Below are 24,763 nucleotides of genomic sequence, written 5' to 3'. Positions count from 1 at the left end.
ATGGGTAATATCTTTAACCTTCTCTCCATGAAGATAACATAGCTGAGGAGAACACTTTCAATCAGAAAATTAGACTACTCAGATCTACAATACAAATAGTTTTCTCTGAATCCAACTCAGGCAATCAACTTACTTGCCTTTGTTTTATATAAATATATACTTTATGTAATATATAACGTTGGAAAATGATATAAATCTTTTTTTTTTTTTTTTAGACAGAGTCTCTCTCACCAGGCTGGTGTGAAATGGCGAGATCTCGGCTCACTGCAACTTCCACCTCCCGGGTTCAAGTGATTCTTCTGCCTCAGCCTCCCGAGTAGTTGGGATTACCGGCACCCACCACCGTGCCCGGCTAATTTTTGTATTTTTAGTAGAGATGGGGTTTCACCATGTTGGTCAGGCTGGTCTCGAACTCCTGACCTCAGGTGATCCGCCCACCTCAACCTCCCAAAGTGCTGGGATTACAGGTGTGAGCCACTGCGCCCAGCCATAAATCAATTCTTAATGATTCGATCACATATTACAAGCCTTAGTGAAAGACTAGATTATGAAATGTTGTGTTAAATAAAGCATATCAGGCAAAAATGGTAAATACATGCAAATATATGTTTCCAGTGAATTTTCATTTTTAAATACCAGGTATTATTGCTGTATAATTAAGACTTTAGATCTCCATTATTTAACTTGTTCCGATTTCTAATTCCATCTTTTCTAAAAAAAAAAAAAAAAGAGCTCCTGAAGGAAGCACTAAACATGGAAAGCAACAACTGGTACCAGCTACACTGCAAAAACATGCCAAATTGTAAAGACCATGAAGGCTAGGAAGAAACTGCATCAACTAATGAGCCAAATAACCAGCTAACATCATAATGACAGGATCAAATTCACACATAACAATACTAACCTTAAATGCTAATGGGCTACATGCTCCAATTAAAAGACACAGACGGGCAAATTGGATAAAGAGTCAAGACCCATCCGTGTGCTATATTCAGGAAACCCATCTTACGTGCAGAGACACACATAGGCTCAAAATACAGGGATGGAGGAAGATCTACCAAGCAAATGGAAAACAAAAAAAGGCAGGGGTTGCAATCCTAGTCTCTGATAAAACAGACTTTAAACCAATAAAGATCAAAAGAGACAAAGAAGGCCATTACATAATGGTAAAGGGATCAATTCAACAAGAAGAACTAACTATCCTAAATATATAGGCACCCAATACGGGAGCACCCAGATTCATAAAGCAAGTCCTTAGTGACCTACGAAGAGACTTAGACTCCCACACAATAATAATGGGAGACTTAAACACCCCACTGTCAACATTAGACAGATCAACGAGACAGAAAGTTAACAAGGATATCCAGGAATTAAACTCAGCTCTGCACAAAGTGGACCTAATAGACATCTACAGAACTCTCCACCCCAAATCAACAGAATATACATTCTTTTCAGCACCACACCACACCTATTCCAAAATTGACCACATAGTTAGAAGTAAAGCACTCCTCAGCAAATGTAAAAGAACAGAAATTCTAACAAACTATCTCTCAGACCACAGTGCAATCAAATTAGAACTCAGGATTAAGAAACTCACTCAAAACAACTCAACTACATGGAAACTGAACAACCTGCTCCTGAATGACTACGGGATGCATAATAAAATGAAGGCAGAAATAAAGATGTTCTTTGAAACCAACGACAACAAAGACACAACATACCAGAATCTCTGGGACACATTCAAAGCAGTGTGTAGAGGGAAATTTATAGCACTAAATGCCCACAAGAGAAAGCAGGAAAGATCTAAAATTGACACCCTAACATCACAATTAAAAGAACTAGAGAAGCAAGAGCGAACATATACAAAAGCTAGCAGAAGGCAAGAAATAACTAAGATCAGAGCAGAACTGAAGGAAATAGAGACACAAAAAACCCTTCAAAAAATCAATGAATCCAGGAGCTGGATTTTTGAAAAGATCAACAAAATTGATTGATCACTAGCAGGACTAATAGAGAAGAAAAGAGAGAAGAATCAAATAGATGCAATAAAAAATGACAAAGGGGATATCACCATAAATCCCACAGAAATACAAACTACCATCAGAGAATACTACAAACACCTCTACGCAAATAAACTAGAAAATCTAGAAGAAATGGATAAATTCCTTGACACATACACTCTCCCAAGACTAAACCAGGAAGAAGTGGAATCTCTGAATAGACCAATAACAGGCTCTGAAATTGAGGCAATAATTAATAGCTTACCAACCACAAAAAGTCCAGGACCAGATGGATTCACAGCTGAATTCTACCAGAGGTACAAGGAGGAACTGGTACCATTCCTTCTGAAACTATTCCAATCAACAGAAAAAGAGGGAATTCTCCCTAACTCATTTTATGAGGCCAGCATCATCCTGATACCAAAGCTGGGAAGAGATACAACCAAAAAAGAGAATTTTAGACCAATATCCTTGATGAACATTGATGCAAAAACCCTCAATAAAATACTGGCAAACCGAATCCAGCAACACATCAAAAAGCTTATCCACCATGATCAAGTGGGCTTCATTCCTGGGATGCAAGGCTGGTTCAACATACGCAAATCAATAAATGTAATCCAGCATATAAACAGAACCAAAGACAAAAACCACATGATTATCTCAACAGATGCAGAAAAGGCCTTTGACAAAATTCAACAACGCTTCATGCTAAAAACTCTCAATAAATTAGCTATTGATGGGAAGTATCTCAAAATAATAAGAGCTATCTATGACAAACCCACAGCCAATATCATACTGAATGGACAAAAACTGGAAGCATTCCCTTTGAAAACTGGCACAAGACAGGGATGCCCTCTCTCACCACTCCTATTCAACATAGTGTTGGAAGTTCTGGCCAGGGCAATCAGGCAGGAGAAGGAAATAAAGGGCATTCAATTAGGAAAAGAGGAAGTCAAATTGTTTGCAGATGACACGATTGTATAACTAGAAAACCCCATCATCTCAGCCCAAAATCTCCTTAAAATGATAAGCAACTTCAGCAGTCTCAGGATACAAAATCAATGTGCAAAAATCACAAGCATTCTTATACACCAATAATAGACAAACAGAGAGCCAAATCATGAGTGAACTGCCATTCACAATTGCTTCAAAGAGAATAAAATACCTAGGAATCCAACTTACAAGGGATGTGAAGGACCTCTTCAAGGAGAATGACAAATCACTGATCAATGAAATAAAAGAGGCTACAAACAAATGGAAGAATATTCCATGCTCATGGGTAGGAAGAATCAATTATCGTGAAAATGGCCATACTGCCCAAGGTAATTTATAGATTCAATGCCATCCCCATCAAGCTACCAATGACTTTCTTCACAGAATTGAAAAAAACTACTTTAAAGTTCATTTGGAACCAAAAAAGAGCCCACATTGCCAAGTCAATCCTAAGTCAAAAGAACAAAGCTGGAGGCATCATGCTACCTGACTTCAAACTATACTACAAGGCTACAGTAACCAAAACAGCATGGCACTGGTACCAAAACAGAGATATAGACCAATGGAATAAAACAGAGCCCTCAGAAATAATACCACACATCTACAACTATCTGATCTTTGACAAACCTGACAAAAACAAGCAATGGGGAAAGGATTCCCTATTTAATAAATGGTGCTGGGAAAACTGGCTAGCCATATGTAGAAAGCTGAAACTGGATCCCTTCCTTACACCTTATACAAAAATTAATTCAAGATTGATTAAAGACTTAAATGTTAGACCTAAAACCATAAAAACTCTAGAAAAAAACCTAGGCAATACCATTCAGGACATAGGCACAGGCAAGGACTTCATGTCTAAAACACCAAAAGCAATGGCAACAAAAGCCAACATTGACAGATGGGATCTAATTAAATTAATGAGTTTCTGCACAGCGAAAGAAACTACCATCAGAGTGAACAGGCAACCTACAGAACGGGAGAAAACTTTTGCAACCTACTCATCTGACAAAGGGCTAATATCCAGAATCTACAATGAACTCAAACAAATTTACAAGAAAAAAACAAACAACCCCATCAACAAGTGGGCAAAGGACATGAACAGACACTTCTCAAAAGAAGACATTTATGCAGCCAAAAAACACATGAAAAAATGCTCATCATCACTGGCCATCAGAGAAATGCAAATCAAAACCACAATGAGATACCATCTCACACCAGTTAGAATGGCGATCATTAAAAAGTCAGGAAACAACAGGTGCTGGAGAGGATGTGGAGAAATAGGAACACTTTTACACTGTTGGTGGGACTATAAACTAGTTCAACCATTGTGGAAGTCAGTGTGGTGATTCCTCAAGGATCTAGAACTAGAAATACCATTTGACCCAGCCATCCCATTACTGGGTATATACCCAAAGGACTATAAATCATGCTGCTATAAAGACACATGCACACGTGTGTTTATTGCAGCACTATTCACAATAGCAATGACTTGGAACCAACCCAAATGTCCAACAATGATAGACTGGATTAAGAAAATGTGGCACATATACACCATGGAATACTATGCAGCCATAAAAAACGATGAGTTCATGTCCTTTGTCGGGACATGGATGAAGCTGGAAACCATCATTCTCAGCAAACTATCTCAAGGACAAAAAACCAAACACTGCATGTTCTCACTCATAGGTGGGAATTGAACAATGAGAACACATGGACACAAGAAGGGGAACATCACATACCGGGGACTGCTGTGGGGTGGGGGTGGGGGGATAGCATTGGGAGATATACCTAATGCTAGATGACGAGTTAGTGGGTGCAGCACACCAACATGGCACATGTATACATATGTAACAAACCTGCATGTTGTGCACATGTACCCTAAAACTTAAAGTATAATAATAATAATAAAAAATAAGAAAAATAAAGTCACATTATCATCCAGTAAAAAAATAAATAAATAAATAAAACTAAAGGTAATCCACAACTAATTTTGAAAGTGAATTATTTTGCTCAATTTTTTTTCCCAGAAAAACATCTTTACTTTAAAGGGGTTCCTTGAATGCAAAGAAAAACAGACAGAATCCATCAAAACTATTGTGTAAGAAAACTGTGACAAAAACTAATTAAAGAAGAACAAAAAGATTTGACAGAGTTTAGAGATCTGCCTCTTTTGGTCCACCTAAACATTTCTCAGGGAAAATAAACCAAAAAAGACTACAGATAGTTCAAGAAAGTCAACGATATCGTAGACAAGTGATTTCGATCTCCAGTACCTACTCTGTATCCATTACAGTGCCATAATGTCAAGTCTGTCGCTGACAGAGTATACTCACGGGCTGATAAATGACAAGAAAGTTCTGTCCAAAAGAAAAATACTGGAAAGTCCATTAAGTCAGCTTTAAAATAGTTACTGTGGATAGCAAAACAAAAAATCGGTCCCTGGAGAAATACACTCCACTTACAGAAACGACAGCATCTCGGCTTTTCTTTCTCTCTTTTTTTAGTACTAACGTTTTAGCATTTTAAGGGCAGTTTCTAGAAAGCGTATTATTATGTTTAAGTTTCTTCCTCTTATACTTTTATTTGCCATAAAATATAAGTCACCATTAAAAAAATTATTCTGATAAAGCACAAGACTCTGGGCAGAAAGAACACGTGGGTCTCCTTGAAGTATGAGACAACTAGGACAATGAAACCCAAAATGCCCATCTTTCTGGAGATGGTGTAGACGCTTAGCTACAGCTATAACTCTATGTGCTGTTCTATCTTCTTGTTTTTCTTATTTTTTAACTGAAAAATTATTACACGAATGAAATCTTAACCATGAACCAATTAAACAGGTCAGCAACAAATGCATAATGAAGTAAAACAAGTGGTACTTCTGTTTCTGGCAGTCTAATGGTATATAAATCCTAAAATATCCTTTCAAATGAAAAAGACTAAAGCATATGACAACATTTGTATTTTCTGAATGTATTGATGGGCTGGTCTGAAAGTAAGGAATCCGTAACACCCCAAACAGAGTGAAAGTACGAGGCCCTGCAAGGTAAACAAGACAAATTTCATCCCAAGGGTTTCTATCAAATCTTGGAGATCCCAGTTTTTACTTTTATGGATTCATAATGCACAGAAGGAAAAAATATAAGGTTGGCTATGTAGAATCTTATAAAATTCCCACACTAGAAGCAATGGCAACTAACACTCACCCTTAGTGTTTAGGGATGAACTAGATAGAAATAAACTTGTAAGCACAAGGTTTTGGCAAGACAACTTGCAATTCTAAAACATAGCATTGGATAGCAAGAGAGGAGAATCCTTCATGAGAATGTGTAACCTCAAGCCGGCTTTCCCATGACTTTATGGTCTGAGTTCAAACTCCCTCTGGGATACAAAGAATCCTCAAAGACAAAATAAACTTTTCCAAATTGATAAAGGCTTTAAATCCTTAAATTAATTACATCTACAAAGATCCTTTTTGCAAATAAAGTCATATGTGCAGGTTATGATGCTTAGCATGTGGACATGTATTTTTGGGAAGCACAGTCCATCCTATTAATATGCGTAAAGAAACAAGACCCTATGTGTTTAAACCAGCAAAAAATGCTGACAGCAGAAGCTTCTTCATACAGTATAAAACAGGCAGGTCCTTCCTCCTCCCTTCCCCAATCTAAATTTCCTTCCTGGACCTAGCTTTTTCAGCATTTTGCAACGCATTTACTTAAATAATCCCTTAGAACACTGCATCGATCACTTTATTTCATTATTATTATTGTTTGAGCCAGGGTCTTATTCTGTCACCCAGGCTGAAATGCAGTGGCATGATCACAGCTCACTGTAGCCTCAGCCTCCCAGGTTCAAACAATCCTCCCACCTCAGCCTTCTGAGTAGCTGGGATGACCGGCATGCATTACCATGTCTGGCTCTTTTTTTAAAATTTCTATTTTTGTAGAGACAGGGTCTCGTTATATTGTCCAGGCTGGTCTCCAACTCTTGAGCTCAAGGAATCCTCTCACCTCAGCCTTCCAAAGTGCTGAGATTACAGGCATGAGCTATCACACCTGGCCAGTTTATGTTAAAAAATATATTTTTACCAAAGTAGTACATATTCATAGCACTGAAACTTGAATAATGATAAAACAAATAATTATCTGACTCCTCACTTTGAGTCAATTATTTTTTTACTGTTCTACAGTTTCTTCTAATGGGTACTTCATGTTTCTAAAAATATATTCATATAGCTCCGTTAGCCAATTCCTTAATGATAGGTGTTTTCTACTGCTGTTTTTTTGAAGACAACACCTCCCAGGTCCCTTCACTAAACTCTCAACATTGTTGAATCACATTTTTTGCTTAAATCCATAACTTAATGCTTTTGCCTTTATGACAATATATTCTTTATAGGTAAGCTGAAAAAGTATATTGTAACTATACCTCTTATCTACAACACTTTGTATTTCCTGAAATTTTTTCACTTTTATTTGCAAACGTTTCTATGAATCCGGATAAGTGCTTTTATACCTATGAAATGCTTCTCAGTACAGTTGTCCAGGTCAAACCTGACAGGTCCTCTATTCTTTCTATTGTTAATGTTAAGACATCCCTCCTGACACTTTACAGGTCTCCTGCTCTCACCACATAAGCCTAGTGAACAGCTCGAGGCCTGTGAACAGCAGTGGTCCATGAATTTCCCCTCCCTTTCTTCCTAGGAATGCCAATGTCCTCTCTTCTGGGGAGGATACCCAGTGTGCATACTGATTTATTCATCTTTGATGAGGCATATACTCTATTTACTTCTGGACACAGGATGCTATGAAGGTAAGCTTTTGGAGATTTTGTTTTCTACAAACATTTCATGTTATCCTAATAATTGAATGATAATTTAATATGGATTTCTTGGTTGAAAATATTCTCATTCCACATTTAGAAGATATTGTTCTATTTCCTTCCACTTTCCAGTGCTGATGTTGAAAAGTCCTACAATCTTATTCAAAAACTCTGGGTGAGAGATCATGGTGTTTACTCTGGAAGGCTTTAGGGTCATGACTTTACCCCAGGTGGTCTGAAATATCACAGTGACAAGCCTTGATATGGGACTTATTTAATCATTTTGGCTCCTTAATGAGTATTTTTCTAGTATTATTTCTTTGATACTTTTCTCCCCTTTATATTCTCATTTCTCTATCCTTCAACTCTTAGCAGTTTAATGTTCAGAGGAAATCAGAGTCTCATAATTCCTTATTCAGACATTCCTTTGATCCACCTGATTTCAGTCTAGCCCCGCATCTCCACCCACCTCTGCTTATTGTCCAGAGTCTAAAACCTCTCTGTTTCCCAAAGAATACATCTCCATGCTCCCACAAGAAAAAGAAATGGTAGAAATCTGACTCTGTAGAGTGAAAGGTGAAGAACTTGAACAAGGAGGAACTTTCCTGCTCTTTATTCAGACTTTCAGAGCTCCAGCTTTTATCCTCAACTCCCAACACACATACACACACACTCTTGCACACTTCCTTCTGCAGAATGTGGTTTCTTCCTGGAGTTGTCCAGGATATACCATTTTATTTCTCTCCAGCTCCCACAGCTTCACCCTTGCCAACACTTAGGTGTAATCCTGTTCTGCAAAATACTTTGCCATATCTCCATTTACTTTCCAAATTCATATATTATGACCTAGTTTACCGATGGCTCCTAATTTACCTGAAAGTAAGTTTACTGTATTCCTTGTTCTTTGGAGTGATTTTATAAAGGAGATTGATCTCATTGGAGATGTATTTAGTCTTATTGTTCTGTATTTTCCTTTATGGTTCTTAATTTAAAGAAAAGATAGAGGTAGCAATGTCTTTCTTCCATAATCCTAAAATTGAAGACCCATCCTACTATGCTAAAAGTGCAACTTGCCCATCAACTAAACACCAGGAATGCTCTAATGTTGGTGTCAAATTTAGAGAAAGTTCATTGCCTAATCTAAAGGACTATCAGGCATCCAGCTAGAAATCTTCATTTATATTGAAATCCAAAGAGATTTCATATTCTAGAAAATATGAAATATCTTGCTTTTATGTGATAATTTTACATCATTTACATACAATATCCTTGCAGAATTTACTAAATGGTTTTGTTTAGTATTGTAATATCATAGAGTAACAAATTCAAGGTCCTACTTAAACTGTACACTACATAAAGTTGGCATTTTTTAACAGGGCTCCATTCATGGAGTAGATATTGGTGATTTGGATATTCTGTAACAATTTTTCAGCAGAAAGTAGGCAAAAATATTAAAATAACAATATATTATTACAATAATTTAGTGATATATGAAAGTAAAATGTCTTAAGAAAGTGGTTCATTCTTATAATTTACACAAAGCCACTGTAGATCCCCATAGCAATCTTAAATCAAACTACCTGACCAATAAAATTTCATCTGTAAATTTTTTGACAGGGATATTATTTCCAAAGTATGACCTATGTAACAAAAAGAGAAACTTAATTCTAAATATGCCTTCTAAAAGAACATTAATTATGAAACCAGTATAATTTAATTGATTCCACAAGGTCTAATTTTGCCACATATATCCCTTCAGTGAGAAAGTGGTCAGGTTTTGAGAATAATGCACTTCATATCAAGCTTCCTACAACTGGCACCTGGATTATGAATGAAATAGAAAAGTGAGCAGTCTGATGATTCTCTGAGTACTTTTCAGAGATTTCCCACACCTTCTAGACATTGATGATAAAAAGCAGTTCTACTCAGGTCCAGAAGCTTATTCATATGTCTTCCAGAAATTTTACTACTTCCTTTTTATGCATATGACATGTAAGATATATGATGAGTATGTATATGACAATTATATTTAAGACATATCCTATGATCATTAAGATTAGTCAATTCATTCAGTTATTCTTTCATTCATCAACAAATATTTAATTAGCACCAAAAAATCTAAGGTATACAGACAGTTGAATCTCATCTTGACAAAACCTTCATTCACAGATATTAGGTAATATCTAACATGCATTTGGAACATGAGCATTGGGCTACACTATGACCGAGAACAGATATTTGCTTATATTGCTTTAGTCCTTAGGTACACTAACTGGTTATAGTTAAAGATAATCTAATATAAACTGCTAACTATGCCAAATCCTATTTATATTTAACATCAATAAATATGAATAATTCAAGCCAATAATATCACAATTCATTCAAATATAAAAGTAAGCAACACATATGAGTTACATAATGTTAACTTACGTATTAATAAAAAAAAACTATGTAAAAATCATCATACCTCTTGTTTGTAACCCCTTTCCACAGGCTTCACTGCTGCCCGTTATTCCCTGCCAGACAGACTCTGGCACTAAGATGCAAGGGCTCCATTTCTGTGGCTTCCACCTGTGATTACCAAAAACGATGGACTAGAAACTTTACTGTGATCAACACGAGGAAGAAATACTTACATATGTTTGAAGTTTAAAAAAAGTAAAGACAGTAATTCAATAAAAATGGATATGAAATCAATGTCATAAAACCAAGCCTTGGCAAGCACTAGAATGACAATAGTCCACTCTACCCCAGATTCATGATTTAGGCAGTAATTCAGTGTTTTTGAATTGGCCCTGTGGCTAATGAGAAAAAAACTGAATTTGGATATTTTACACATAAACTTTGGTTAATATAGAAAAGTGGCAATAATAAACATTAGAGGCACTGATCAGTCTGGAGGGTCTAGTTCTTTAGTTCTTTATGCACTTAAAATTGTTTCCAAAAAAAAAAAAACAATACAAGAAAACAAGAGAGAGAAAATCCCTGTGTCCCACTGGTGCGTTAGAGAATAAAGGTTTGAACATCTGTAAGCTTGAGGTACAAACTTCACATTAATCTTCTGCTTCAAAATTTTTATAAGCTTGAGGTACAGACCTTCACACTTAATCCTCTGCTTCAAATTTTTATAAGGTGTTTCCAAGGACTTTTGAAGTAAATCAAACATCTCAATAGGTTATAGAGTAAAAGAACGGGCACCATGGAACTATCTTATCTGATAGTTAATCTTAGGAAAGAGGAATGGACCTGCTGTTGATAAAATACCATGATTTCTAGTCCTCAGAGGATACAGTCTTGAAGGAAATCTTTTCACCTTCTACTGGCTTTTCTTTCTCAGGTCAACAAAACTCTATTTTTATGACTCACAGGGCAGATGATGACTTGTGTCCTTAAATCTGTCTCTTCAGAATATTCCAGCAAACCCAAACCCTAAGTATAACTACAGATTCTGCTCTTTCACTTAGTACATTTTAACCCTTTTCATATGAGCCAGTACCTCTGATAACTACTTCAAAAAAGCAGTGAGAAACATAAAGCAAAACATCATTGACTTCATTCAAGTGGCCTTCATAATGGGAATAGCTGAAGAGTTGGGGAAAAAAAATCAGGAAACAGCTAAACAGGAAACCTGTTACATTTAAAGAAATCATCTATTAATTTTAGATTGTTATAAATTTACTTTATACATGCATAGATATACATTCTGCATGATTCCAAGATACAGAAGCCAAAAGGTAAGGGATTTTAGTCCAACTTTTGAACTAAAATGTCATTGATTCACTCAATTTCCTTAAATTGAGTTTATACAGACCTTCTTGACCAAAATGAGACCAAGGAGTTCAATCTCCTTTACCTTGGTGAATAGACTGAAATGGAGGAAAGAAATTTTTGGAATTCCTTTATTAAACTTTCAAAAACCAGGCTCAGAGAAGTTAAATGATTTGTCCCAGGCTGCATAAGTCAGGACAGGCCAGTTTCCAGTCCTGTCTCTGATGCTCAGCCACAGCCTCTTGTCAACTTCTTATTGCCAATTCTACATAGGGATAAAGGCGCCCATGCTGTCTTAGCTACTTAATGTGTTGAGAGAAGTTCAAATTCACTTGACAAATTAAATAGGCATTTTGATTCTGCTTTAATTTGGTAAACATGTGAATATATCACCTTAATGGAGTCAGAAAGAAGAATCAGAAGATAATGATAAAATCCTACGTTAACTCGCTTCCTAAGACAACTTCCTCCCTAACATACCAATAAAGGGGAAAGCAAAATCTAAATTGGAACTATATTGCTCAAAATTCAAGGATGTTTCACTAAGGAGCAGAGATTCATGCTGATAACTTGGATACATTTTGAACTATGCATCAGGAAAAATGGCACAATGATCCAATTCATACACAGTAGAACTGATTTTTGGGGAACGTGGCAGGAGGTCATTGATAGAAACTAGCTCAAACACAAGTAGCTAAATTGAAGTGCAATAGGAGAGTAAAAAGAGTGGACAAAGAAATGGAAGATCCCACTAATAGTTTTTTGATTTTATCTGATTATAACAACCCTGGGTTCATAAAAATGTCTAATAATATTTGATTTGGCTAATTTTTTTCATTTGGATACTTTCCTTGAGAGCTCTTTTGCTGGGCTCAGAAGTTTCAATATTTAGACATTGTACAAAAGGATGAATATTGACAGTGTTTCCACAATGGCCCTGTGGTTAATGAGAAAAAAATGGTAGTCTGGGCATGTTCCCAGTGTTTATTTACATCCTCCCAAAATTGGTCATCAGATAAAAACAATGAAAGTAAAGGATGATAAAATCAATAGTAATTTAGACCTTCTTCAACGATATCTTTCTTCTTTTAAAAAAGGAAATGACTTGTATTTTCCCAAATAAATTAGCCCTTGAATTTCACAGCTTTAGGTTTAGTTTCTCAAATAATTAGCAGAAACACGGGACATTTTTGCTAAAGGCATTTATAAGTGTGCCGATAAAACCTATATTATTTTTAAGACCATGGATTATATTCACAAATCAGTAAAACCCCATAGAGATTGAATTTAATCCAAATACACCTTAAAGTAGCATTTCAATCAGATTTAAAACTGTCAGGTGTTAAAAGGGGGGAAGTTTGTGAGTAAGCAAAGAAACCTATTATTATTTTTTAAATAGTAATCACCAATTTGCCAAGAGGGAATATACAGGGAACATACATAGTTTAAAAGTTATTCATTTTCTTTTTGTAATAAAAAATTTTATCCCTAAGTTAAACGTTTTCTTCTAATTGGATGGTTTCTGAAATTGTGTATCACAAAAATTGAGAACCAAAAAATTTTTAATTAAAATAAACAAGGGAGTACAAATTTGTTCTTAATTCTTGATTAAAGATGTTAGGATGAGAACAATAGAATGAAGGTAAGTTACCACCTGTGTGTGTGTGTGTGTGTGTGTGTGTGTGTGTGTGTGTGTGTGTATTCCTTCTCCCGTGTGTGTGGTGTGTATTTCTTCTCCCAGCCCCCAGATAACAACCGTAAAAATCTCATCCTGAATCTCTTTCGAACATGATCCTGAAAATGGACTGCCATGGTGGCATAAGTCAAGCAGCTCACTTACAGTCAAACGTGCTTCCTTTTCCCCCTGTTAATTAGACTTTCATATCTCTACTCCTCCCAAATATGTTCCAGATAAGAGGGTAAGAATATTAAAGTATTTGAAGATATGTAAATGTCAGATCCCCTCTTACTTATTTTTCACCAAACGACCATATGTTATGTGAAAGAAAATAGGTTATAATTTACAGTAGGTCTAACGATAATTTTAAAAGGTAACTACTTGCCGATATACAGGACACAAGGAAACATCTTCACACTCTCTCTCCTCATATAAGGTATCTGGGCATTCCTGGCCTCCATTGGCTGCTTCTTGGATGATGATTCTGTATCGAGACTGTTTTACTGTGGCATTTCCTGAAGTAAAGGAAAAAGAAAATTATATAGTGCCCTTTTATGTTGATGCAGATCAAAATCCAGGTAGCAATTGAAAAAAAAGAGAGAGAGATAAAGTAAGCACATGTGGAAAGTCAACCTGGGAACGAAAATAACAAGCAAAGACCAGGAGTTAACACTCCATCTTACTTTTATGAAATAAACACACAATACTTAATAATGGTGATTTCGAATATAATTATTTCCCGCTGTCTTAATATGTTTAATTAGAATCTACCTTACCAATGGCATAAAAGTTTTATGGCATGATCGAAGGGGCCCCAGAAACCTTCTTTGATCTCCAAACAACAGCTGAAATCTCTGGTGTTTTATTATTAGCAACTCAGTCCCTTGAGTAAGGGATTTCTCCATCCAGGCTATTTTTTATAATGCAAACAAAACACACCTATAATAATTAATATATTAGTCACCTATTCATTTATGGATATTAGTTTATTAGATTTCTTATTCCTCAAAACCTCATAACCTTATAACCATATATATATAATTGGAATTTAGGAAAGAGGCAGTAAAATTGGGAAAGAACAAAATATTGTTTAGTTCAGGGTTTTGCTGAGAAATAGAAGTATTAATAGGAACATCAATTAAAAAACAACTGATGTTCACTTTAATGTGTTGAGGCACTCATTTCACAATCTTTAGATGCCTTCTGAATCAACATCAGCAACAAAAATCAATTATCGTTAAAGTGCTTAGCAACTACTTCAATTACTATGTGGAAGATAGACTATTTGCACTGTAAATGCACACACAAATCTCTGACCTACAGAACTTATAATTAAGCAAGAAGAAAAGGGGCAGACATATATACGACTAGTTAGAAGACATTGCAGTGTGAGCAGTGTCAGAGAGTGACACGGTGCTAGGTGGGTATAGAAGAAACAGAAATCATTTTTGACTGTGGCAACCGAAGAGGGATCATGAAGGAGACAGATTTTTGTCTGCTTTGAGGGCCTTGATAGCTAAATAGAAAAAAAATCATATATATATGAATGAATAATATATATATGATTTTATATTATATATTATATTATATATTATATTATATATTATATTATATATATTATATAATTATATATTATAATTCATATATATATAATTCATAATATATATATATATGAATGAAGCCATTTCAGGCCAAGGAAGCACTTTGAAGAAGGGCACTGAGATGTAAGAGTGCAAGGCATTTATTTACAAAGACAGACAAGTAACTACACTCAGAAGGAAGGTATGTGAGTACGGCTCTGGGTGTGAGCACATGGGAAAGGTGGGAGAGAGGGAGGAGCGCAGTGAGGGTTATAAAGAATGGAGAGAAAAGACAGTGTAGGAGAAGATGGAATAAATTGGTAGGTTTGGTACAAATAATAGACCTACCCATATCAAGAAGTTAACTTATAGAAAGCCAGCACAATGAAATAAGAATTTATTAAAATTATATATGCATTTAAAAAAAATCATTAATACTAGAAGACCCACAGTGAGAAGCAACTCAGCCACTATGAAAGCTTCCTTACTCTCTGTCTTCCTTTTCAGAGGGAACACTTTCAACTGCTTCTGTATTTAATTTTTCTATGGTTACCTCCAAATCTATAAATACTATGCTTATGTCATTACTTCTTGATTTATGAACTTCAGACATTACCTATTGACTTTCTGCAGTAATTGACAATTTACTTTGTACCATCTTTCAATCTTTTATAATGATGTTTTTTATGCCTCTACTGGTTACTTAATAACCCATATTTTTTTAAGACCTACCCCTCACTCCTGTCCTCCATCAGACCAGTCACCAAGGCTCTGTGGAGCCCTCGTGGGTAGAGGAGCTTTCTCCTTGCCACCACCCACCTTCCTGCTACATTAGGTCATGGCTCCCAATGTCGTGTCATCAATTTCTCTACTTTTTGGTCTTACCCATTAATGTTCTGTCATTACCCATTAATGTTCTGTCATCCACTAATGTCCTCCACTAATGGCCCTCTCCTTTTGTTTCTGAGAAGGAATTAGGGCTTTTAAAATTCCTTTCCTATCATTTTGAATGAGATCCTCAGAAGGAGGAGAGACCAACACCTTTGCACATCTTATGACCTTGAACTGGAAGTTAAGGAGATGTATAGGATCTTTTCCATCTGTTCCCCCTAGATTCCCTCTTTGTTCTTCTTCAACCTGCTTTATACCCAGAGATGGGCTGCATCAGTAGCCCCCCGGCTTATTGGCTTCTGTTTGGGCTTTGTGAATGGGGGGATGGGACACACAAAAGAAAAGAAAAAAAGGGCAAGAGGAGGGATAGAGACATCAAGGTATTTATTTCACCAGATTCCATCTCTGTATTGCCTCACACTGTCTCCCTATCTCTAACAAAAGCCACAGTTCCTATGGAGGGGCATTTGCCTATAGCTATTAAATACTTTTCTTTCATTCCACTAAATGTTTCTCCCTCCATCAACTTTATGGATTCTAACTTTCACTAGCCCAGGTCCTAAACCATCATACCCTGTTAGTCTACCCTAACACTTCTCATCCTTTGTAAATAGTCCCTTCATTAAATCTTCCTCAGTTGCTCCATTTGAGTGGGCTACCTCTTTCCTGGCAGAACATGCCAATAAAGTCAAAGGAGACATGTTGCTATTTGAAAGAGTAAATCCTGTAATTGGCCCCTTTTTAAATGTAGTTAAGGTTCTGTGAGGAGTTTAGAAATAGATGCTTAAAAAGAAAAAGAGGGTTACCAAGATAGCTCTGCATCATAATAATACAAAAAGCTATCTTTATTTGGGTGGGAAGAATATTTTGTAAATAATTATGCCTTTAGGAAAAAGTCTCTTCCCCTACTCCCAATTAATGTCAATTATACTGTATTATCTCTGTTTAGCCTATACTGTACTATTTAGCCTCAGAATGTTTTCTTGAGTGTGGGTTTGTGTGTATGTGTGTTTTGTCCAAATATTACCTTAGGAGTCTGTAAATAAGGACTGAAAACAATAGAAAAAAACGAAAGGGATGCCTTCACCTCACATGGAGGGAGAATCCCCAAGGGAGACTACATATACAGCATGGATCAGTATGTCTCCCTTTTACACTGAACATGCACATGCACACACGTGCACACACCATACACATACGGTACACACTCGCATACAGACGTAGTCTGCCTTTATGGTGTGACTGCAGGTAAAATAATCTAAAGTTTGAGAAAAACAGTTGCATTGATTTTCATGCCCTACAGATATTCAGATGGAGTTTCAAAAGGATGGATCCTCTAGTGAAAATCAACATTTAGTATCAAAGTAAGATTTTCCAGAGGAGAAACTGATCCACACTGCATAAACGAAGAAAAATGTATATGTCTTTGAAGAGAGAGAGTTAAGGGAGGATCTTAAGCTAGGGAAACAATACCAGAGATGTGTGAACTATCTGTTAAGAGTCTCTCTCTCTCTGTGTGTTTGTGTGTGTATGTGTGTGCATGTATATTTCCTTGAACTTTGCAATGGACATATTTAGCATTCAATTTTAAAGAATTTTCCTGTCCTTATGATGTAAATGCCTCAAATTATGGCCAAACCTATAGCAGACTCCTTTGCACACAACAGACTTAAGTGGTGTTGTGGGAAACTCAAGGGCAGGCAGTGTACACTTGAGATAGAGCAGTCAATGATTTTCTTATTTTGTTAGAGGTGTTTGAACCAGAGCAACTCCATCTTGAATAGGGGCTGGGTAAAATAAGGCTGAGACCTACTGGGCTGCATTTCCAGATGGTTAAGGCATTCTAAGTCACAGGCTGAGATAGGAGGTCAGCATAAGATACAGGTCATAAAGACCTTGCTGATAAAATGGGCTGCAGTAAAGAAGCCAGCTAAATCCCACCAAAACCAAGGTGGCCACAAAAGTGACCTCTGGTCGTCCTCACTGCTATACTACCACCAGCTCCATGACAGTTTACAGATGGCATGGCAATGTCAGGAAGCTACCCTACATGGTCTAAAAAGGGAGGCATGAATAATCCCCACCTTGTTGAGCATATCATCAAGAAATAATAACATGGATTAAGCTGGAAACCATCATTCTCGGCAAACTATCACAAGGACAGAAAACCAAACACTGCATGTTCTCACTCATAGGTGGGAATTGAACAATGAGAATACTTGGACGTAGGGCGGGGAACATCACACACTGGGGCCTGTTGGGGGGTGGGGGCCTGGGGGAGGGATAGCATTAGGAGATATACCTAATGTAAAGTATCAGTTGATGGGTGCAGCAAACCAACATGGCACATGTATACTTACTTAACAAACCTGCATGTTGTGCACATGTACCCTAGAACTTAAAGTATATAAAAAAAATAAAATAAAATAAAGAATCCTCTCTTAGATTCTGGATCCATATCCCTTTCCTGTAAAAATTTCACCTCATTTTGAACCCAGCATGAGGGTTGTGTCAAGGGAGAATGATAATTCCAGAAATCCAAAAGGTAACCAGCAACAAAAGAAGTAGAGTCTGAGGCAGCCCCCAATATCATGGTTTGAAGCCAGGTAAGAGAAGATGGGCAAAGGCCAAGTAGTAGCTCTCAGAAAGTGATGTCAAACAACACCTCCTTTTCCACTGAATACTCAAGAAAAAGTGATTTTGGGAAGTAGCTATAGAGAGGGGAGGATAGTGGCTTTGCCACTGGACTACATTTAGATCACCTATGTGTGTAAAACATATTAAATGTTTCTAGGAATTACCATCTTAATCTATGTCAGATCCATGCCTGGGCATTTTACGTATGCATATGCTACCTTATTTTATTATTATAACTTCTTATCAGATTCATATTATTATTCCCATTTTACAGATAAGAAAATGGGGGGGTGGAAGAGGTAAATAATTTCCCAAAAATCACTAGATAGAGTTAAAACTGTACTAGGCAGACAATTAGGCCCATGATATTTCCATTAAAAGAGACTTTATAGTATGATGAAGGGAAAGAGGGGAGCACTCGGGGGTGGGGGATTTGGGGGGGAGGTAGTCTACATCACTGTCCTTCTGTTATTTTAAAGGAATACTTCTTCCCTTCTAAGCAATTTTTCAATAGCACTCGCTTACAGATTTCAGTGTTAAAAAAGTGCCATATTTGTAAGCTTTTGTGAGTGATGTTTCCAACCTCATTAGGCCTATGAAGAAGAATAACAATAAATTAAAGTGCCTGTTTGCCAACATCAACAATTGCTCAAGCATGATTATGACTAATAAATAACTAGTTTAAATTCAGTTTTGATTTATGCATATTTTATCATCACTAAGTCATCAGGTATAATTAAACTTGTTTTTAATTATAGTCAAAAGAAATAACATTTAGAGAAGATGGTGACTTAAAGATTAAGAAACATATTTACCACAGAAAGCACACGAATGGGCTACAAACATTGAGAGATGTTTATAGATTCTTTGTGAAGGTCTACACTAGTCTTTTCCAGAAAGATGATAGCAAAGCGAGAAGAAATGAGTATGTAAAGAGACCCTTTGGGTGATTTGCAGGTAGGTAAGCTGGGGAACATCACACTGAATTAGTGTCATGAATGCTGAGCCCTGATGTCAGAGTTATTCGATTAATGAGCTACAATAAAGAACTGACTTACTAAGTTTGCAACTAATTTAAAATGTAAGAGTAGGGGAACAGCAAGTGGGTGGTAGAACAGGAGTGAACATAGGCACTGGCTGATAGGACAGGCAGGGTTGGAGATGAACGTGTGGCCAGGAAATTGGGGGCACTGCTAGAGGCAAGCATAGGTGCAGAGTAGATGCAGGATAGCTATGTACCAGCAATGCATGGCAGTTATTCCAGCAGCAACCTGCAGAATTCTAACAGATTTTAAAAATTAACCTTTAGGGGTTTCCCTTGTTTCTCAAATATTCCTATTACCCATTAAACATCAGTGGTCTATTATGCTTCACAGCCCCAGTATTGTTCCAGGCTTACCACCTTTTAACTCCTGGTTCTCACCCTGAAGTTCTCTTTCCTCCTCTTCACTTATATATACAATTCACCACTCAAAAACAAAACTGAACCCATCCTGGTGATTCCTCTCTCACAAAGATTGAAGCAAAAGGATGACACCAATGCTTTTTATGATTAATATCACATTAATAGTCACACATTAAATACTTCCTAGGGTTGAGTTGCAACCCTAACACCTGTTAGACTTTAGGTTATTTGTTTGACCTTGCTAAGCTTCAACTTCCTAAGTTGTAAAACAGGCCAACTAAAAGTTTCTAGTTCTTATAACTGCTAGGAGGATTACATGAGATACTGCATGTAAAGCATGAACACATTGCCAGATGCAAGGAATTTTCTCTAGCACGTCAGTTCAAGAAAGAAAAGAAAGATTTTAAAAAATAGAAGAAGTTTCAATAGTTAAATTTTCTGTAATTTAGAAAAAGAAAAAAATGACAAACCAGCTTTCTATTCAGAGCTGAGTCTCATTCCTGTTTTGTACATCTAGGAGCAGACAATGAATGGCTTAAAACCATTCCATGTTCCTGGTAAATTAAACTACAATTGCAAGGCAATTAGTACCTATAACCATGTTCTCATATTATTGGAGAGGAATGGATAGGATGGTCAAACATCCTGTTTTCTCACAGCAATTCTAGCCAATACCTATTATCTTAGCTTAAATAATAATAACTCCTCCATTCACTCTCATAAATGTCTTGGTTTGTACGACACATTATATGATCATTCAAAGACTATCACCCCCATGTGCATGTATAATAAGAAACATGTACATTTTATTTCTCATTCCAGCACAGGATTGCATTTCAAATGTGTGGAAAAGGTAGACGGACTGCACTGCTATTCTTAAAATTATCTACTCAACAGGATCACTGGACCTTTTTATTTCTTGCCACAGAATTCTGCTTGCATCATTCAAACATTCAAAGAAGGCTGTTTTGGGTTGGTTCCAAGTCTTTGCTATTGTGAATAATGCCGCAATAAACATACGTGTGCATGTGTCTTTATAGCAGCATGATTTATAGTCCTTTGGGTACATACCCAGTAATGGGATGGCTGGGTCAAATGGTATTTCTAGTTCTAGATCCCTGAGGAATTGCCACACTGACTTCCACAGTGGTTGAACTAGTTTACAGTCCCACCAACAGTGTAGAAGTGCTCCTATTTCTCCACATCCTCTCCAGCACCTGTTGTTTCCTGACTTTTTAATGATTGCCATTCTAACTGGTGTGAGATGGTATCTCATTGTGGTTTTGATTTGCATTTCTCTGATGGCCAGTGATGGTGAGCATTTTTTCTTGTGGCACATATACACCATGGAATACTATGCAGCCATAAAAAATGATTAGTTCATGTCCTTTGTAGGGACATGGATGAAATTGGAAATCATCATTCTCAGTAAACTATCGCAAGAACAAAAAACCAAACACTGCATATTCTCACTCATAGGTGGGAATTGAACAATGAGAACACATGGACACAGGAAGGGGAACATCACACTCTGGGGACTGTTGTGGCGTGGGGGGAGAGGGGAGGGATAGCATTGGGAGATATACCTAATGCTAGATGACAAGTTAGTGGGTGCAGCGCACCAGCATGGCACATGTATGCATATGTAACTAACCTGCACATTGTGCACATGTACCCTAAAACTTAAAGTATAATAATAATAAATAAAAAATAAAAAAAATTTAAAAAAAAAAAGAAGGCTCTTTTGCGTCCCTCAACAAACCTGTTTGTGAAACATGGAATTAAAAATTAATGGGAAAAGAGAGTATAGGGCTTACCTCAAAATAACCATAGCTACTCTATATGTGTTATTATAACAGAAATATCACAAATGGATGCCATAATACTGAAGAGACTTGGCATTTATTCAAAAAGGAGCATTAATATGAGGGGAAAACAACTTGGACTTGGAAAAAAATTCCAAATTGTCATTAAGAAGGCTGTTTCTGGCTGGGCGCGGTGGCTCACGCCTGTAATTCCAACACTTTGGGAGGCTGAGGTGGGCGGATCACGAGGTCAGGAGATCGAGACCATCCCGGCTAACACAGTGAAATCCCGCCTCTACTAAAAATACAAAAAATTAGGCATGGTGGCGGGTGCCTGTAGTCCCAGCTACTCAGGAGGGTGAGGCAGGAGAATGGCATGAACCTGGGAGGCAGAGCTTGCCGTGAGCTGAAATTGCGCCACTGCACCCCAGCCTGGGCAAGAGAGCGAGACTCTGTCTCAAAAAAAGAAAAAAAAAAAAAAAGGCTGTTTCTAAGTCAATACTATAGACAGCAAAGATGGCAGTACAATATTAGGCAGCCTAAGTTTATTCACCTTTAAATCTGTGACTGAGTTATCAGAGTGAAGCATTTACCACATACAGTGTTGTCATCATTAATAAATATTTGTGAGGTACCTGCTACATGTAGGCAACTCACCTAGGTGCTGGTGTTATGCTGAAATGTACATACATGCATTATTAAATCTACCCAGTGCAGCAGAAGTGAAACTTGACAGATGGATAATAACGTAAAAGATCTCTATAAGAGATCAGAAATGATAATATGAACTTTGTATTTATTATCCAAATCCATCAATCCAGTATGTTCTCTCTTTGTTCAAGGAGAAATGGAGGCTTAAGTGCTTAAAAAAATGCAATGCCCTAGTAGAACTATGAGTAGGAAGGTTTTATAGACTTCCTTCCTATCCATCTTGGTGTTCCATATATAGAGCAGATACATCAACAGCAGCATCTTCCCCTAAAATTCTCTCCCAGGCTAAACCTTGAAGTACTTCAAAATGAACACTGAGCTAAAGATTCTATCTATCTATATACAAATGAAATTAGGTGAAATTGCAAAGCTTTTCTGCTTTCCAGGAATGTTAAAAATAAGCTTCAGGATATCCATATACTTCTTTCATTTTGAAATACTGCCTGAAAAAATGTACTCTATATTCTTAAATTTTTATAATCATCATTCATTTTGCAACAGAAGCCAAATTCAATGGATCTGGCAACAGACAAGACCTTCAGGGCTCTGATTTCTAATCCCATCTCATTACTGAATTGCTATATGACCTTGGGCAAGGCACTTAACCTTTCAGAACTTCAATTTTCTTACTTGTCCTATGTGGGTAATACTGCTGAGACAATTCACAGGACAGCTGTTAGGAATGCTTAATTAAGTGGGATTTAAAGTTTTTCTCAAATGTTATATATATGTGTATGTGTGTGTATATATATATATTATATATATAGTGAACTTGAAATTTTTTATATGAAAGCCCTTTGTATAGACTTAAGAAAGAGCAATTCATGTTTATATCTGCATACGCTATCCAGGATAAGAGTCAAGGCAAATACAAACTTCCTGTAGCAGACGCAACACACTCAGAAGCCCAGGCCATAGTTCTAAATTTCCAGGGACTCCTTCCAATATCCTCAGCTTTCTATCCCCAACCACTGCTGTTCTTAAAACATCCCCAATTTAGAGAGAGCTAACCTTATCAAATAGTGACCCACTTTGAGTCTGCCCTTCCTCAGTCTCTACATATCACAACTGAAGTCATCCATAGCTGATCTCATTGTGTCTAATTCCAGCTGCATATCAGAATCTCAGGGATGCTTTCTCAAATTCCTAGTGCCCCACCCTACTCTCAGAAACCCAAACCAATTAAAGGACAATCCCTGATGGGTGGAGCTGAAGTATTAGCATGTTTTAAAAAAATCCCCAGGGAGGAGAACCACCGATTTAGCACAACTAAAGAAGAGTTTCTTATGCATCCAATAAGTAAAACAGGAAAAAGACCATATGGCATGCTTAACCAAGCAATAGAAAACAAAGGAACACTAGCTAAACCATTACAGCTCTCAACCCATTTAAAAAATACGACCTGCCCTCTAGCTAAGTCTATCATAAAGGGTATGATTGGAATTGTGCAGTATAAACAAGGAAGGTTAATAACAACACCTATAATGATAAGTTGCACTTGTCTTTTCTTCTTGTCAATGTGTTATGTGTTATGAAATGACAGGGATTTATTTTTTTTTTTTTCCGCAAATCCTGACCCCTTTCATTTTAGCAGAGGGAGTGACTATAGCTGCTTGCTACAACAAGGTCCCCTAATGTGTTGCATTCTGTCAGCATTAAGACTGAAATACACTGAAACACCATTCTGCATGGGATACAGACAGGTTTTGAGGGGCACAAATGTCATCTAAGATATAAGCTGAAAAAATACTGCTGGAATTGAAGCTGAAGATGCTGTCACCAATATTAGGCATGAATATTGAACTATATATCTGAAAAATGCTTTAAAACAATTCATGTTGCCCTACTCTATAAATGCTTTATGTCCTTAAGAATGCTATTCAGGCCGACCATTGTGCTGACAGCTTGAGAGAGAAGCTAGCAGAGTGAGGACACAACTCAGAAAGGGCACAGATAGCACCACTGGGTCCTTGCATCCTCAGCTTTTACAGGACAGTGAAGTGTATCACTGGACCACTTGCTGTTAGGGAGCTTGCCATGTTCTGCCCATCACTCGCTATGGCTCAACCACAAAAATCCTGGGCTTTTTTTTTTTTTTTTTTTGACAAACTTTCCTCAATGTCCTTTCCATGATGGGTCTATATGGAAACATTGGTTTTCCAAATGTAAGGTGAGGGAAATTACTCAGACATTAAATATCAGTTGTCATATTAAAATTTTTGTTTTGGAGGTGGTTGTAAAACATGACTAAAGGAAAATAACTCTGTGAATACAAACTAATTAAAATTAGGCTTTTTATTTTTAACCATAAATTTTAGCACAAGATAGACACTCTCTATCTCTTTTATGCATAAGGTACATGTTAATGCTTGTATTGCTGTCACTACTTCTGCAGTGTCAACATGGTCACTAGTGTTCAAAACTTCTCTTTTGGCTTTATGTTGATGAAATAATGCGACTTTTTAGAATCA

General features: G+C 36.8%; 1 protein-coding gene across 2 annotated transcripts in view; it reads right to left on the bottom strand.

Moving 5' to 3' along the window:
* The window catches only part of THSD7B (thrombospondin type 1 domain containing 7B), a 912,174-nt gene that overhangs the window by 391,408 nt on the left and 496,003 nt on the right, over window positions 1-24,763 (bottom strand). For both annotated transcript variants that reach the window (NM_001316349.2, XM_047445935.1), the window contains exons 11-12: window positions 13,649-13,778; window positions 10,285-10,388 (exon numbers count right to left, since the gene is read on the bottom strand). In NM_001316349.2, the coding sequence (NP_001303278.1) occupies window positions 10,285-10,388; window positions 13,649-13,778 (234 nt within the window). The remainder of the gene's footprint in view (window positions 1-10,284; window positions 10,389-13,648; window positions 13,779-24,763) is intronic.

Source organism: Homo sapiens, chromosome 2 (genome assembly GCF_000001405.40).
Source record: "Homo sapiens chromosome 2, GRCh38.p14 Primary Assembly".
Lineage (NCBI taxonomy): Eukaryota > Metazoa > Chordata > Mammalia > Primates > Hominidae > Homo > Homo sapiens.
The sequence above is the reverse complement of the archived record's forward strand: the minus strand, read 5'-3'. Positions and strand labels throughout refer to the sequence as shown.